Consider the following 16594-nt stretch of genomic DNA (forward strand, 5'->3'; position numbering starts at 1 on the left):
AATCAAAGTGAATTAAGAGGTAGGAACTACAAGAAAAGTCTGACTTTCTCCTACACTAATGTAATTTCCACTTTAGGAACAATAGTAACCTACTTGGTGACCATGCTTTAGAAATCACACTTCCTGGGAATTTGAAAAGACACAAATAACAAAGAACCAAGAAGAAACATGTCACTTTCAGTGAAACTGTTGCTTGAGAAAATAGAATTACACTAACCATGAAAAGTAAGACCTCAAAAGTGGGAAATTCTCTTTACCACCCCTGTCTCCAAGGACCCACAAGGAAGCTACAGAGAAAAGTAAAATAGCTGAATGTGGTACCTATTATGTCAAGAAAATGAAGAAATCATCCAGGAAATCATCTTATAAAATCACAATAACTGCAGTCTAAATAGACATTTAACAGTAGAAATCAAATGGAAATGTGTTCATATGGAAAGGTGCTAGAATGGTCAAAAATCAACCAATAAGCCTTGGGGTAATAAAGAAACAAGTCACTGTGAACAGTGTTGTCATGATTGATTTAAGACTTTGGCAGCATAACACGTTCTATTTAAATACATTTTTTCCATAATTCTCTCTCTCTCAGACCTGTAACTTCCAGAATAAGTATTAACTACAAGGAAAAGATAAAAATTTTGTTGAGATGGTTTGCATTTTAATATGTTAATACTTTGGATACGAAATATGAATTAAACATAAAAAAAGTTTACCTATTCTTTTTAGGGGCCTCAGAAGCAAAAATAAATAGGTTTCCAAAAGAACAAATAAATACATGGGTTTTGTATTTAATCACATATGTGAGATTACACAGGACACAATAATAGACAGCTGCTTGTTCAGACTGATTTTTAAATAAATGTCCTCATTTCAGTACAAGCAAAATAAAGAGAACATTGATCAATGTTTGGCATTCAAGATTTTTCTTTATTAAAACATCAGCAAGTTACTAGTTCCCTATCTGGAAACTGTGTAAATAGAAATCCTTCCAGGAGCTGTAAATTTTTTTTCTATTACCAAACCTTAGAAAATTTCTGTATAAACTCTCAAATTGTTTCTCAAAATTATTATTTTGGAAACAAGGTTCTTGTGATTTACTTAGCAATAATGACAGAGAACATTACAGATAGTGAAGTCATTGAAATTACAACTTAAAGTTTAGAACAGAAATGAAGATTCATTTTTTGAAAGCTAATGTGAAAGAAACTTATTACTAGACTGAAAAGCAAAGACTTCTGAAACAAAAAGCAATATTTAATGTAGCTTGTCTAAATGACCAAGTGAAAACTATATATCAGGTTGTTGCAAAAGTTATTGAGTTTTTCACATTAAAAGTAATGGCAAAAACTGCAATTACTTTTGCACCAACCTAATATATACTAAGCAAAATGAAATCTAATTATGCAGGTTCCAGGATAGATCACTCATTGTTGAACAATTGACTGTCAACTACTATCCAGGGAATTTTATAGACAATAGGGGTAGATTATACAGACATATTCAACCCAATGGCAGAGACATTATATCACGCTTAAAAAAAAAGAGAGAAAGAAGTGCTTTCTCTCTTAGCTATAAAACAGCAAAAAAGAAATTCTAACAGAGATTAGTCATCATGTTCAATGAAATTAATGCAAAAATACTCAAAGACAATCTCCACCATTACTTCATTTTTCCTTCAGCCTACAAAATGAACAACGTCTACATTTTTAGGAAACGTCATGAAATTTTGCCCAATTATCTCATTCTGTGTATTTCTCATATGATTCCTTTTGTTGTCTATACCTCTTTTTAGTATCATCTACTGTTAGAAACAAACAACTAAAAAAGAGTTTCTTTTTTGCACAACTCTTTTGTTGATTAAATGTGGGTTAGCTAGTTTCAGTACCTCAATGGCAACTGGAGTCTGTTCCTATTTCACTGTGTGTGCTTCAACAATCAGGGACAGTATGGGCGTGTTAGAAAGTCATATGATTAACTAGCCTTGCATTCAACATACTTCAGAAGGCTCATGAAGCACGGTACTAACTAAGAGTCAGAAGTCCTTTGCCCCTGAAAATAACAATATAACACAGGAACTGAAACAGGAAAAGTTCCCTAATCCCCATCACAAGGCGTGTGATGAGGTGTGGCTCACTTCTTTGGTGCCTCACTGCTAATACCCCTAGGCGGAGCATGCAAACAGGCAGCTCATAGGGAGCGCTGACCCCACAGCAGTGTCTAGGGTTGAGTGCTCGCAGCTCCCAAAGCCCCAGCGTGCGTGTGCTATAGTGCACTCTTTCAGCTTTGCTGTCTGCAGGTGGCGTGTGTTAATCAGCTCTATTAGACCCTCAGCCTTATTGCAAGGACAGAGGGCTTTCTGTATCCCCGGTACTTGCCTTAGTGTACCGGAAAAATCAGATCACATGTGGACCTAGAGAATGAGTGCACGGTTTTATTGAATGGTGGAAGTGGCTCTCAGCAGATGGATGGGAGGCCAGAAGGGGAATGGAGTGGGAAGGTGGTCTTCCCCTAGGGTCGGGCCACCCAGTGGCCGGGCTATCCTCCAACCACACTTGGCCAAACTCCACATCGTGTCATTGTAGATGGCATGCCAGCATCTGCTCATGTTTTTCGGTGTGTTCTTCTGCTGATGTGTTCCTCTCAACGTCCGGTCACTTGTGTCTGTGCCTGCTAAGGTCTCGGAGTTTTTATAGGCACAGGATGGGGGCATAGCAGGCCAGGGTCATCTCGGCAAATGCAACATTTGGGTGCAAAAACAGGAGTGCCTGTCCTCAACTAGGACTATGGGCACAGGCCCGAGGATGGAGCCCTCACCAAGAACCCTGCCCTTCTCCCAGCACTTCCCAGCCCCTCTCCCTTATCATTTTCCTCCTCTGAAGAAGTACATCTAACTGCCATTAAAATATGGATGATGATCGGTCTTAGCTGCTTCCTGCTGACAGGGCCATTGTTTTGGGTAAAATGGCAGTCAGATTCCTCCCAGAGGTTAATCTAACGGTTCCTTGCAAAGGGGAGCCATCACCTGAGGCTCTGGTTGCCTGACCATTTGGAGTTTGATGGCTTCTAGGCATGAGAGAAAAAAAAAAGTTTTATAAAGTTAAGTATGCATGGTTTAAACATGTGTATTATACAAGGAAAGAATTTAGTGCCAAAGATTACAGAGATAAGAAGTGAAATATACTAACAACAACATTGTACCCAGAGCTGTTTCTGGTGAAAAAAATTAAACCTTGTGGCTGGGCGCAGTGGCACATGTCTGTAATCTCAGCACTTTGGGAGGCCAAGGCGGGTGGATCACAAGGTCAGGAGATCGAGACCATCCTCGCTAACATGGTGAAACCCCATCTCTACTAAAAATACAAAAAATTAGCCGGGCGTCGTGGCAGGTGCCTGTAGTCCCAGCTACTCGGGAGGCTGAGGCAGGAGAATGGCGTGAACCCGGGAGGTGGGGCTTGCAGTGAGCCGAGATCGGGCCACTGCACTCCAGCCTGGGCCACAGAGCGAGACTCCGTCTCAAAAAAAAAAAAAAAGAAATTAAACTTTGTATGGAAGCGGTTAAACTTTAGAAGAAAGATAACTGTTCTTGCCACATCTGTAGCCGTTAACAGGTGTACACTGAGAATTCTGGGGTTTTTGGCCTTGCACAGTGGCCATTCAAGCTTTTGCCTCTTTCTTGTGTTTCCCTTTCTCTACTGTAAAAGACTGAGGTGGCCGCTTTCAGGAGGTCTTCTAATGTACTATCTGGTCCTGGGGCCTGTTTTTGTAGCTTCCTCCTGATGTCAGGAGCTGCCTGAGTAATAAATTTATCCTATAGGGTTAGCTTTCCCTGGACTCAATCAGGAGATAGAGAGGTGTGCATTACCAAGGCCTCTCTTAGCCTCTCCAGGAAGGCAGTGTGATTTTCATCAAATCCCTGGTCAATCATAGACAACTTAGTATAATTGAGAGCTTGGTCTTAGTCCTACGTAAGCCCTCCATTATGCACACTTGAAAGTGTCTCCTCTTCCAGTCTCCCATCTCATCATTGGGATCCCATTTAGGGTCATTCACTGGTACTGCTTCTCTTCCAGATGGATACTGTTTTTTCCCTTCTCTGACGCTATATGTGGTGCAAAGCTCATCACCAAATCTCTCTGCTGCTTGCAGAGTGGCCTGTTTCTCAGTGTCTGTCAGGTTCTAATTCAAAAGTAACATAATGTCTCTTCAGGAGAGTTCAAATATTTGGGTGAAATTCTGGAAAGCCGCTATATATCTATCAGGGTCATCTCAAAACTTGCCAAGATCCCCCTTAATTTGCTTTTACTGGGTCCAAATTCACTGGGCATTTGTTGAAGGGGCAAGAGTGAAACTGGGGCTTGTTTAGGGTGAGGATTTTTAGGAGGGGGTGAGTGAGATGCTGAAGCTGAATAGGGAGGTCAAGGTGGACCCGGAGGAGCAGGGCTTGAGGGACCTGCTTCCTCTGCTGGGAGTGCCTCCAGAGCTCTTTAATTCCCCAGGCTTACCCCTTGCAGTCTTTCCTGAGATGGAAAGCAGGAGGGCTGGATCAACTCTACACTATCAGCAAAGGTCTGGATTGCCTTGCAAAGTATAGAAAGCCTGCACATTTGGGGCCTCGGACCATCTGTCCTCACATCTACAGAAAAGTTCTAAGTGCTGGATGATATTGAAATGAATGGTTCCTTCCTGAGGTCAAGTCTGTCCTTGCTGTAAATCATAATTTGGCCAAACCATTGTTCAGAGAGCTATGAATCATTTTTCCTACAGATTCTGAGGGTCAAAACAGTCCCAATAGTTCAGGATACACTCCAGAAGAATAAGTTGGGGGTGGTGAAGACAGCCAGTTGACCATTCTGAAAGACAGTAAATAGAGGTTTACTTCATTCCCTTCCTTCTTTCAGCAAAAACACAGGGTGTGATGAAGAGAGAAAGCAAAGCAGGTATCCTCCCTTCCCTTCCACCTCTTATCCCTGAGTCCTGGTGACCTTGACAGGTGCTAGCCATAGATACCCATGAGGTATCTGCCCACGAAGCAGGGAAAACCTAGAGAATGGGAATTAACCGCCATCACCTATGCCTCCATTTTTTCCTGCTGTGGACAACCTTTGAGTTCCCTGGGCCTGTTTATGCCATGGAGTTTTTCTTTCTAGGGCCACAGCCTGAAGCTTGGAATCGAGTTTGGGACTGAAAAGGTATTTCAGAGGCTGTTTGTACCTGTTTAGAGTGTGTCAAATGAGCCCTGCCAAATGTGCAGTTATCAGCCAGAAGGGGCTGTTCCTCCATCAACTTCCCTATCAGAAACAGAGTGCTGGGAGGGGTCAGTCCTCTCACACGAAACGGAAAAAGAGAAAAACAGTATAAGGGGCAAAAGGGAAGGTCCTGGGGGAAGAACGCCTTGTTCAGTGCAAGTGAGTCGCTTTAATCCCTGTATCCTTCCCCAGTTCAGACCCGGTTGAATTCCTCGGCCAGGATAGAAATGCTCTGTTGGCACGGGGGACGAGACGTGCCCTGTGGGGTCCTGGCCACCGCCGTGGTTTTCTAATGCCCCCCAACCCCTGTGGCTGTGCTCAGGCACCCGAGCTGGGAGGGGAGAGGGTAAGGGGAGCTGTCTTGAGCTGCGTGGGTCTGCAGCTGTTGGGGTGGAAGTGAAGATGGCACCTCTAGGAGCAATTGGTCTGATTTGCACCTTTGATGGCTGCACTCATTTTACTTAGTAACATGGCTGCAGCCTGTAGCAAAACTCCTAACATTATAAAACAAGAGATAAGAGCTATTTCAAACTATGAGAAAGAGAAAATAGACGAAGTCTGGGTGTTTTGACTAGCCCGGTCAAGGCAGTTTAAAACTCCGTGAAGGTAAATAGAGCCTGTTACTTGCAGGAAAGAGAGAGAGATGGCAGGGTTTTGGAAAAGAGACAGATCTGACAGTTGTGCATTCACACTCACTTTCCAGGATCCCAGATAAGCCCTAGTTGAAATGGGAAAAATTCCCTTATACCCCTTGCAGGTCCTGCGATGAGGGCGTGGCTCACTTTTTCAGTGCACCACTGCGCATACCACTAGGGAGAACATGCATATGGGGAGATGATGGGGAGCATGGGCTCCAACCCCGCAGCAGTGTCTAGGGTTGAGTGTCTATAGCTTCCGAAGCCCCAGTGTGCGTGTGTTACAGTGCGCTCTTTCAGTTTTGCCATCTGCTGGTGGCATGTGTTAATCAGCTCTATTAGACCCTCTGCCTTATCGCAAAGAAAGATGGCTTTCTGTATCCAGGTTCCTGCCTTAGTGTACTGGAAAAATCAGCTCACACATGGGCTTAGAGAATGAGTGCAAGGTTTTATTAAATGGTGGAAGTAGCTCTTAGCAGATGGATGGGGAGGCCAGTAGGAAGGTGGTCTTCCCCTGGAGTCGGGCCACCCAGCTGCCAGGCTCTCCTCCCACCGCCCTCGGGCGAACTCAGCGTCATGCCGCTATAGATGGCCTGTGGTGTCTACTGCTGTCTACCAGTGTGTTCTTCTGCCGGTGTGTTCCTCTCGACGTCCAGCCACTTGTGTCCAGCCCGCTAGAGTCTTGGGGTTTTTATAGGCACAGGATGGGGGCATGGCAGGCCAGGGTGGTCTTGGGAAATGCAACATTTGGCATGAAAACAGGAGTGCCTGTCCTCACCTAGGACTGTGGGCACAGGCCTGAGGGTGGAACCCTTGCTAGGGACCCCAGTTTTCTCCTCCCAGCACTTCCCTGCCTCCCGTATCAGAACCATGAATCTAAAAGCACTTAACATTTTTTTAAATAGAATTTTTGGACAGTTTATGGGTATTAGTATAGACTTTACCACTGTTTCACTGCGTAGTTTAGACGTCTTTCCTGTGTCTCCAATTTCTCCTCAGTGAAAGGGGGAACATTATTAATGTATTATTTCCAGACATGATTATTTTACAAAACTTATTTATATAAAAGTATGTTTATGTAACAGGAATTGGAGAAAAGTATTTAGACATTTCACGGAATCACTATTAAGTTGTAGAGAACCTGAATCCCAAAGCAATGTTGAAGAATTTTAAACATATGATCCTACTTGTGTGTGCTAAAAATAACAAGAAAAGTCAATCTGCAAGCTACTTGAAAAACAAAGACAACTAAGTCTCTATGAGTGGGAAAACATCAGCATAATTTATTAAATACACATTCACCACTTTGGAAGGCCAAGCTGGGAGGATCACTTCAGCCCAGGAGTTCAATACCAGCCTGGACCCCATGGTGAAACCCAGCCCCTACAAAAAATACAAAAAAAAAAAATTGCCAGGTGTGGTGGCAGGTGCTTATAGTCTCAGCTACTCAGGGCAACAGAGGAGACCCTGTCTCAAAAAAAAAAAAATTAACGTCTTATTTGCCTCATGCTTAATCTTATTTTCTTCATGCTTAATCAAGAAAAATCTACAAAGCATGAAACATAGAGTCTGGAACATGGTAGATATATAATAATGCTGATCGCCAGCCTATTCACCCAGGTGAGAGGCAGGAGATACTTCTCTCTTCCGTTTTCTTTATCTCCCTCTGCTCCTGTTTTCTGTATGTTTATGTGTACATAATAAGATCCTTTCCAGACCTATCACCACACTCACTTCTGCAAAGCCTTCCCTTGATCTCCAAGCCACCTTGTACTACTTAATACCTCAAGCATTTACATGGTTTGTACCTGATTGTGTAGTTTGTACCAAGTAGTTCTTTATGTCTAGGTATCTTATCGCCAAATGAACTTGTAAGTCCTTTGAAGACAGAAACTATAGATTCATTGCTTTCTATGATACCTATATTTAACTGGTTTATGTATGCATAAAGACACACATGCATACACACACAATGCTTACTCAATATCATACTATCCGATTATTCTGCCTCTATAACTAAAGGACAGAGGTGATGGACCGAAGACAAGTTGTAGATGTGATCTCCGCTTTACTAGAGTAAATGTGGTAGTTCTGTTACATATAATACACACCAATAAACTGGGAAAGTTACTTTCTGAAGATCAAAAAAGAGGAAATGGGTTCTAGCTATAACAAAGAAGATTTTTGTCCATTTCCTGAGGATAAAGTGCAGCTGATCCTTGAACAACATAGGTTTGAACTGCATGAATCCACTTTTAGGAGGATTTTTTTTTCAACCAAAGTGGATCAAAAATGTATGTACTGGATCTATGTATGTGAAACCCATATAAGGAGGGCTGACTTTATATTTACATAGGTTCCACAGGACTGACTTTGGGACTTGAATATGTGTTGGTTTTGGCATATGTGAAGGTCTTGGACCAATCCCCAAGTATATAGAGAGATGGCTATAATTATTACACGATCTGAAATGACTATATCCTATATGAGTAGTTTGATGATTTTCTCCATCGGTGTGGTCAATTTGATATACCAATCAAAATTATTACAAGCTAAAAATTTTAATTCAAAAATATTATATACTTTTACCAATATCTTGAATGGAGATTTGTCAATACTTCAGTGGAGACACTCTCCTCTGTTGATTTCTGTTGGTACTAGATTCTCAAATGACTGATTTCTAAGTCAGAAAAACTGAATGGCTTTAAAAGTTCCATCACAATTTTAAGAATCTACAAAATTTTGTTTCTAGGCACATTATTTGATGTCCATCTCAAAATCAAACAGCATAAAGAACACTAACATGAAGTAATTTTCTACATGTGCAAAAACATAAGTTAGATGAAAAAACATCTTCAAATGTGTTAAAATTTGTTTTTCAGATGCATCTTGTTTTTAAACGAAATGTCAGTATATGATTATAAAGTTCTAAATGCACTATTTTAATCAAGTATAGGAATAAATCATGGACTTCAGGGCAAAATGTTATTTCATCCAGTGCAAGCAGAAAATAATTCCCAACAGAGAAAATAAATACTGTAAATGTGAGGTAAAAACCAAGTCTCATTGTATTCAAAGAAACTAAGAAAAAATCTTATTTCCCTTCTGCAGTCCCTCTTGACTGATGGTCCTTCACTCTTATATGTAGAAAATCACACAAAAACCAAAAGAAATTGTAGTATGTCTTGAGATGAAGTATCATACATCCATTAAAATAATAATTATGACTATTAAAACATAAAATTATTAATAAAAAATACAAAATCATGTACAATGTTAATAAATATGTAAATTTGTAAGTGCATTTTGTATTAGTTTAGCAAAATTGTTTAATTATGACAAAATGTATATTTAAATAAAAGAACAATGAGAGTAAAAAGTTTTGTTAGAATGACATGCCTCTGGCTTTAGTTTTTACTTACATTTTTTAAGATACTTAAATATTGTCTCCTAATTAAAGTTGACATTTAAAAGTATTAACTTTAAAATAAAGCTGTTTTCTAGAAATATGTCTTATTGAAGTCTACATTTAATAGAATTTTTTTTCTTTTCTGAAAATTAAGTCAGTGCCATCTTTAGACTTTTGACATATCTATTCTCTAAGATTTACAAAAGATGGTAGCTTTTTAATCACACCAAAGAAGTTGGCTTTTAATTGCTAGTTCAATAGACTTCTCGGTTTTTGTTCCTAAGTTTCCCTGCAACCATTGATATTACTGAACACACTAGACTTTATTAAAGATTTATCTTCTCATCTGGGCACAGTGGCTCACGCCTGTAATCCCAACACCTTGGGCCACCGAGGCGGGCGGATCACAAGGTCAGGAGTTCCAGACCAGCTTGACCAACATGGTGAAACCTCGTCTCTACTAAAAATACAAAAATTAGCCTGGCATGGTGGCACGTGCCTGTAATCCCAGCTACTCAGGAGGCTGAGGCAGGAGAATCGCTTGAACCCAGGAGACAGAGGTTGCAGTGAGATGAGATCCAGCCTGGGCAACAGAGTGAGACTCTGTCTCCAAAAAAAAAAAAAAAATCTATCTTCTCTTGGTGTCTGTCTCCATTGTTTCTTTACACCATTTCTTTTCTGCTTACCTACTGCCCTAAAGCTAAACCTGCTTCAAGAGTGGAAACAGATTTCAGAGATTCGTCCTCTTTTCTCAGATATTTTTCTTTATTTAAACTCTTTACTTCAGCTATATATATTACATCTAATGTGAGGATGTACAGATTGAATCTCCAACCACACAATGTCACTCCTAGGTTCCAATGCTGAAATTCCAATTTTCTGCCAGATTGTTCTGCCTAACTATTCACTAGAAATCTGAATTAACGTTGCCAAGACCAGCTTTATTATATTCCCCTCAAAACAATATTCTTACACCAACAACACATTTCTGTTACTTAAAGTACTATTCTACCTTTATAACAAGCCTGAAATGTGGGAGTCATTGGGAGTCATTACTCCACCTCTCTCTCCTTTATGCCCAAATCATTGGTCAAATATGACAACCTTTACAGTTGTCCCCAACTCTGGCTATTTTTACCTCCACAATTGTAGTAAGATCCTTGTCATCTTCTCTCTAGATGGGCAGTTTTCAAAATGGTCAGAATATACTAAAAAGGGTAATATGTCAATAAATTAGGGCATTTGTATTATTTCCATTTTTTTTTTTTTTTTAAGGAGTCTTGCTCTGTCACCCAGGCTGGAGTGCAGTGGTGAGATCTTGGCTCACTGCAGACTCTGCCTCCTGGGTTCTAGTGTTTCTCCTGTCTCAGTCTCCTGGGTAGCTGGGATTACAGTCGCATGCCACCACGTCCAGCTAATTTTTGTATATATATATTTTCTTTTTTTAGTAGAGATGGGGTTTTGCCATGTTGGCCCGGCTGGTCTCAAACTCCTGAACTCAGGTGATCTGCCTGCCTTGGCTTCCCAAAGTGCTGGGATTACAGGGGTGAGCCACCATGACTGGCCAAATGTTTTATAATATCTATAAGATAGATAGATGATAGACAGATAGATAGATAGATAATAGATAGATAGATAGATAGATAGATAGATGATAGATTAGATAGATGGATAGATGATAGATTAGATAGATAGATAGATAGGTGATAGATTAGATAGATAGATAGATAGATAGATAGATAGATAGATAGATAGATAGATAGATATTATAAACAAACAACCCAATATCGTAGTGCAGTAGTGTGTGTTCCAAATTGGTGTGTTTTTTCTTTTTCTTTTTCTAGAAAAAGGTCTTGCTGTCTCAATAAGATTGGAATGCAGTGGGGTCACCATAGCTCACTGTAGCCTCAAACTCCTGGGCTCAAGTGATTCTCCTGCCTCAGCCTCCCAACTAGCTGGGACTGCAGGCACATGCCACTATACCCACCTAATCATTTAAATTCTTGTAGAGACAAGGTCCAACTATGTAACCCAGGCTGGTCTTGAACTTCTGGCCTCAAGTGATCCTCCTGCCTCGTCCTCCCAAAGTGCTGGGATTACAGGCACAAGCCACCGTGCCTAGTGTGCTTCAAATTTCTCTCATGAGAGATGCACAATCAAAAAGTTTTGGACACTCCTTCACAAGAATATTTCAATAGCCTCCTGAAGTAATTAGCTTTCTTACCTTCAGTGTCTCTCCTGTACCTCATGTACACATAACTGCCAAATAAAAGGTTCCTAGGAATAACAATGGTCACCTTGCTGTCTGAACAAAGCTGTTTAATGTCTTTTACTTGCCACCGCAGTGAAACTCACCTCAATAACATGACCCTCAAGGCAATCACAAGCCGACCATCCCCTCCTCCAAACATGCACCCATGAAACACACTATTTTTCCAGGCATGATTTTCACTTTTCATTTTCGTAATCCCATCATCCCAATGAAATGTAACCACCTATCCTCACCTAAAACATACCAAGTGCCTCTATATAATATATTTTGCCATTATAATAGTATATTTGTTTGAGTTCTCTATAGATCTTTGAGATAAGGTCTATGATAATAAACCTAATAAAAGTCAGGTCCTCATACAAAAGCCTCTCAAGTCATATCTATGGAAACTCACTCCAGCAGCCAAAATTTGGTCATGGAAATCCACTCTGCTTTCCTGTGTTTAGGGACATTAAAGGAAATCTCATTTCTAACCCGTGGAAACTCATCTCAACTTCTTCTACTAATGCCCAGTTCTCCTGTGCTCATCACTGCTCCGGAGTTCCCTGCAAACCAAATCCCCAACAACCCTCTCTGCTTTAGCTCAGGAAGCATGCCTTTCTCTCTCTCCACTCCTCACTGTTTCTCATCTTCATACTATGTAGCTTCTTTGTGTAAACAAAACTACATAATGGTAAGAACTTTTCCTTGTCTGATGTCCTTCAGCACTTAGTCTGGAAAAAAATAGAACTTCTCTTAGAGGATGACAGTCAGAAACGGAGGAAGATGTACCTAGTCTGGGTGGTGATTTGGGGATAATGGAGACAAGAACCCTTATACACTAGCATAAGTGATTTCCCTCCTCTACTCTCCCTCCTGATAGACTTTCAGTTATGAAAACTTGTTCATTTCCTGATGTTGAAATCCTATTCATTTTTAAGATACGATCATATTTCATTGGCTCTGTGATTTTTCTATAACCAGAATTGATTTATTTCCTCCCAATGCCCATTGTCCTTGACCACTAATACATTTATGACACATAGGCTTTCATTATAGTTACCATCCTATCCAAATTTTCCTAAAGGATTGGTAACTCTTAAGTCAGGGATTAAACCCTTATCTTTAAAACCACCATGGTATCTGTCCAAGAACATTGCAAATAACAGATAAATGTTAACATATGAAAGAAACACCAAATGTTGTCATGACATTGTCTTCAGCAAAGAGTCTCTTGAACATAAACTGTTATATCTTCTTCTTTGTCTTTTTCTTTTGGACAGGGTATTACTCAATGCTATTATTAGTGGTATTTGGTAATACTGTGCATAGTTTGCCTATTTAGAGGACATTTATCTAAATAAACATATACATTGCAATAATTATTGTGACAATACTTATGATTACTTCAAGTTGAGATAAAGAATGTTGTATCCTCAAACATACCACTTTAGTGAGGGATGTTGATAATGGAAGAAGTTATGCATGTATGGGAGCAAGGGGCATATGGGAAATTTCTGTACTTCACAATTTTACTATGAACACAATAATGCATGAAAAAATGACATCGAAAAAATGTTATATTCTGACTTTAAAGCTATTATTTTAAAGAGGTACAAACTTAAAAAGAGCAGGGAATAGGTTCAGATTTTGTCATTATAATAGTATATTTAACATTCAAAAGAAATAGTAATGAAATCAGTAAAACATGATTTTTGCAAAAATTGTGTAAGATTCTTAAAAGTTATGATACAATGAGATAGTTACAAAAAGGAAATCTAACAGACTTTCCTTGCTTGTGGGGTTTCAGAACTGCATCAATTAAATCATTCATTTATTCCAAAAATATTTATTGATTATTTAATACTTACCATGTCTTATATTGTAAGAACCTATAGTAAATTACAGGTGACTGAGAAGTCTATTTTTCAAAGTGTTAAAAAAAAATTAGAGTCAGTGAAACAATTTAGTAATTTAAAGTAGACTAGGCCGGGCATGGTGGCTCACACCTGTAATCCCAGCACTTTGGGAGGCCGAGGTGGGTGGATCACAAAGTCAGGAGTTCGAGACCAACCTGGCCAACATGCTGAAACTCTACGAAAAATACAAAAAATAGCCGGGCGTGGTGGCACATGCCTATAATTCCAGCTACTCAGGAGGCTCAGGCAGGACAATCACTTGAACCCGGGAGGCAGAGGTTGCAATGAGCCGAGATTGTGCCACTGCACTCCAGCCTGGGTGACAGAGCGAGACTCCATCTAAAAAATACTACTACTAATAAAGTAGACTATAAACATATAATTATTCACGCACTCAAAAGTCACAATTTATTGAGTGCTGTGTGATAAGCAATTGGCTAGGCTAGATGCTGGTAATAAAAGATAAGGAGAACACAGACTAGATCCTAAAGGAACTCACAATCCTGTGCTACAAGAGATGTATTCACAATGTGCAAAGAAAACATAAAGAAACCCCTAACTCTGCCCAGAGATGAGACAGAGAACTCACTCAAGACTTAACCTTTAAATGGTGTCATGATTGATAGGCAGTGCCTGTCTTGGTGTAGAAATAAAAGAAAGAAATTGCAGCAAGATGCAACTCAAGGAGCTGAAGTCAAGAGGAATGAGAAAGCATGCCAGTCCTCATGAACAAAAAGGCTGTTAACCTGGAACAGAGCACAAACATAGGCGTATGGCAGAGACTGAACCGTGAAGGGTCTTATAGCCACACAAGGAGTCTGATCTTTAACAAATCCTGAATGAATGGAGCCCTTCATGTGTCTTAAGAAAATCAGTAGCATACTCACATTTATATTTTAGACAAATAAATAAAGGTCAGGGAAATGTTTAGATATTAGAATCAGCTGAACTTAGTTACAAATAATATAGTATGAGGTAAAGATGACAAAGAAAGAGAAGATAAAGTGAAAATTCATTTCCAAGTGTCATGCTTGGGTGACCAAGGGGTTTATGGAGACAGAGAATATATCATGGTGAGACTGATAAAATATCTAATTTGTACTTGAATATTGTTTCCAAGTCTAAATCATACATATAGTCTCCTCCTGAAGATTTACATATTGGCAAGTAAAGGAAAATTAAGGCCAACTCAAGATCATAGATATGATTTAAATTGTATTCCCTGGTTCATTACTTATATTACATACTTGTATAAATTAATAAAAGATTTCCTTCCTTAAACAAACCTGATACAATACAATTGGGATTTATGTAAAGGATTAATGTTACTCTTTTCCCTTTTAAAAAATGACATATTTGCCTCAAAAAGAAATTTTCTTTAGTGTTACCTTAAATAGAATGTTCTCTAATGATTTTAAAGTAAGATTACGAGTAAATAAAATAGATAAATATATACGTATTAATGAATAGGACAGCTGGTTTTCAGCAGAACAGGGGTACTGGCTGTTCACTGCTCATGGCTGCTGTGACGGGTCAGTGGTCACGCTGCATGGTTGTGGATACGATGAATGTCACCACTACCTATTGCACAAAGTAGGAAAGAGCTGAGGATAATTAATGTGACACTCGAATTTAACAAAAACCTCTAAAAGGATCAAATAGCACTCTGAAAATGAGTTAACAAATCAGAAAAAAAAATACGTAACTGTGTCTAAATGTTTTTTCTATTAAAAAAGGAAAAAAAATGAGCTGTTGAAGAATTATTTATGCTTTAGTTTATTAAAATATCAGTAAATAGAATTGCACTGTCTTTCTTTTAAGGATTTGTCTGTCTTTTGTGCCCTTTGATAATTAATTTTATTTGGTTTTCAAGATAATTATATAACTTGTCTTAATTCAAACTGCAACAACAAGCTAAGGAAAAGTTAGGGGGTTTCTGTAAAGAGTCTCTTTCTAAGTATCCAAAAGCCAGACTTTCACGCCTGCCTATGTAGCAGTAGTAAGAACTCAACAAGGCTTCTAGCTGCATGACAAATATAATTCCTGGAATTTTCCTTCTTAAGTATTCACATAATCACCCTTTCAAATGTAACAAGCATTTTAAATTCTTGTAAAGTCAGAGAGAATTCTTAAAGGAATAGCTACTACTCAAACAATTTTGACATGTAAACACCTACAGACTTTCATATCTAAAGATAAAAACCTAAGAGAGTGTGTCAAGAAGGATTGCCTAAAATCAAACCCTAAGACAAGGATTCTCATGAAAGTGATTTATAGTATTTAGGAGGCAGAGTGTGTGAAGTAGGATAGGGCAGGAAAGGATGAACAAGGATGTGGTCTTGGTTGGAGCCTCACTTCAGCCTGACCTGGGCACTCAGGAGTACATATTAAACCTAGTTGGTTGTTCTTTGACACAAGGGACCAGTTCTTTGTACTCTCGTATTGTCGAATCACAGCTAATGCCCATTAAAGTGAGTGGAGGTAGAGGTGGGTGTTATATCCAGGCACACTAGCTCTCACTGGGCCAAAGGGATGAGTGCATAAGCCTAGTGAAAGCAAACTGGATGAGACAACAACAATATCTACTGCAGAGGTATATTTTTTAAATGTCTTGGAGAAAGAAATATCTTGCACAAGGTCCAGGTGATACTTGGACTGATGACAGCAACACAGTGCAGAGAAGAGAAAGTAAATAGAGGCATGCCTTCTCCTTTGATTGCACATTGCTTTTATTATGCTTCGCTGATACTGCACTTTTTACACATTGAAGGTTTGTGGCCTCCTGAAGCTAGCAAGCCTGTTGGTCCATTTTTACAACACCATGAGCTAGCTTCCTGTCTCTGTGTTACATTTAGGTAATTCTTGCACTATTTAACCTTTTCATTGTTATTGTATATGTTAGGGTTATCTGTGATCAGTCATCTTTGCTGTTACTATTGTAATTGCTTTGGGGCACCATGAACTGCATTGCTACAAGACAGTGAAATTAATCATTAAAATGTTGTGTGTGTTCCAACTGCTTCACCAGCTGGCTGTTCCCTCATCTCACTCCCTCTCCCAAAGACTCCCTATTCCCTAAGACAAAACAATTTTGAAATTAGGTCAATTAATAATCCCACAATGGCCTCCAAATG

The 16594-nt window shown here is 39.4% G+C and overlaps 2 long non-coding RNA genes across 2 annotated transcripts in view; one reads left to right on the plus strand and one right to left on the minus strand.

The window, feature by feature from the left end:
* Positions 1 to 16594, minus strand: part of LOC102723914 (uncharacterized) — a 52393-nt gene that overhangs the window by 19564 nt on the left and 16235 nt on the right. The gene's annotated exons all lie outside the window — the stretch shown is intronic.
* Positions 5104 to 16594, plus strand: part of LINC02264 (long intergenic non-protein coding RNA 2264) — a 35548-nt gene continuing 24057 nt past the window's right edge. Inside the window, exon 1 of the long non-coding RNA NR_147154.1 lies at positions 5104 to 5189. This is a non-coding gene — a long non-coding RNA (long intergenic non-protein coding RNA 2264). The remainder of the gene's footprint in view (positions 5190 to 16594) is intronic.

Source organism: Homo sapiens, chromosome 4 (genome assembly GCF_000001405.40).
Source record: "Homo sapiens chromosome 4, GRCh38.p14 Primary Assembly".
In the NCBI taxonomy this organism is placed as follows: Eukaryota; Metazoa; Chordata; class Mammalia; order Primates; family Hominidae; genus Homo; species Homo sapiens.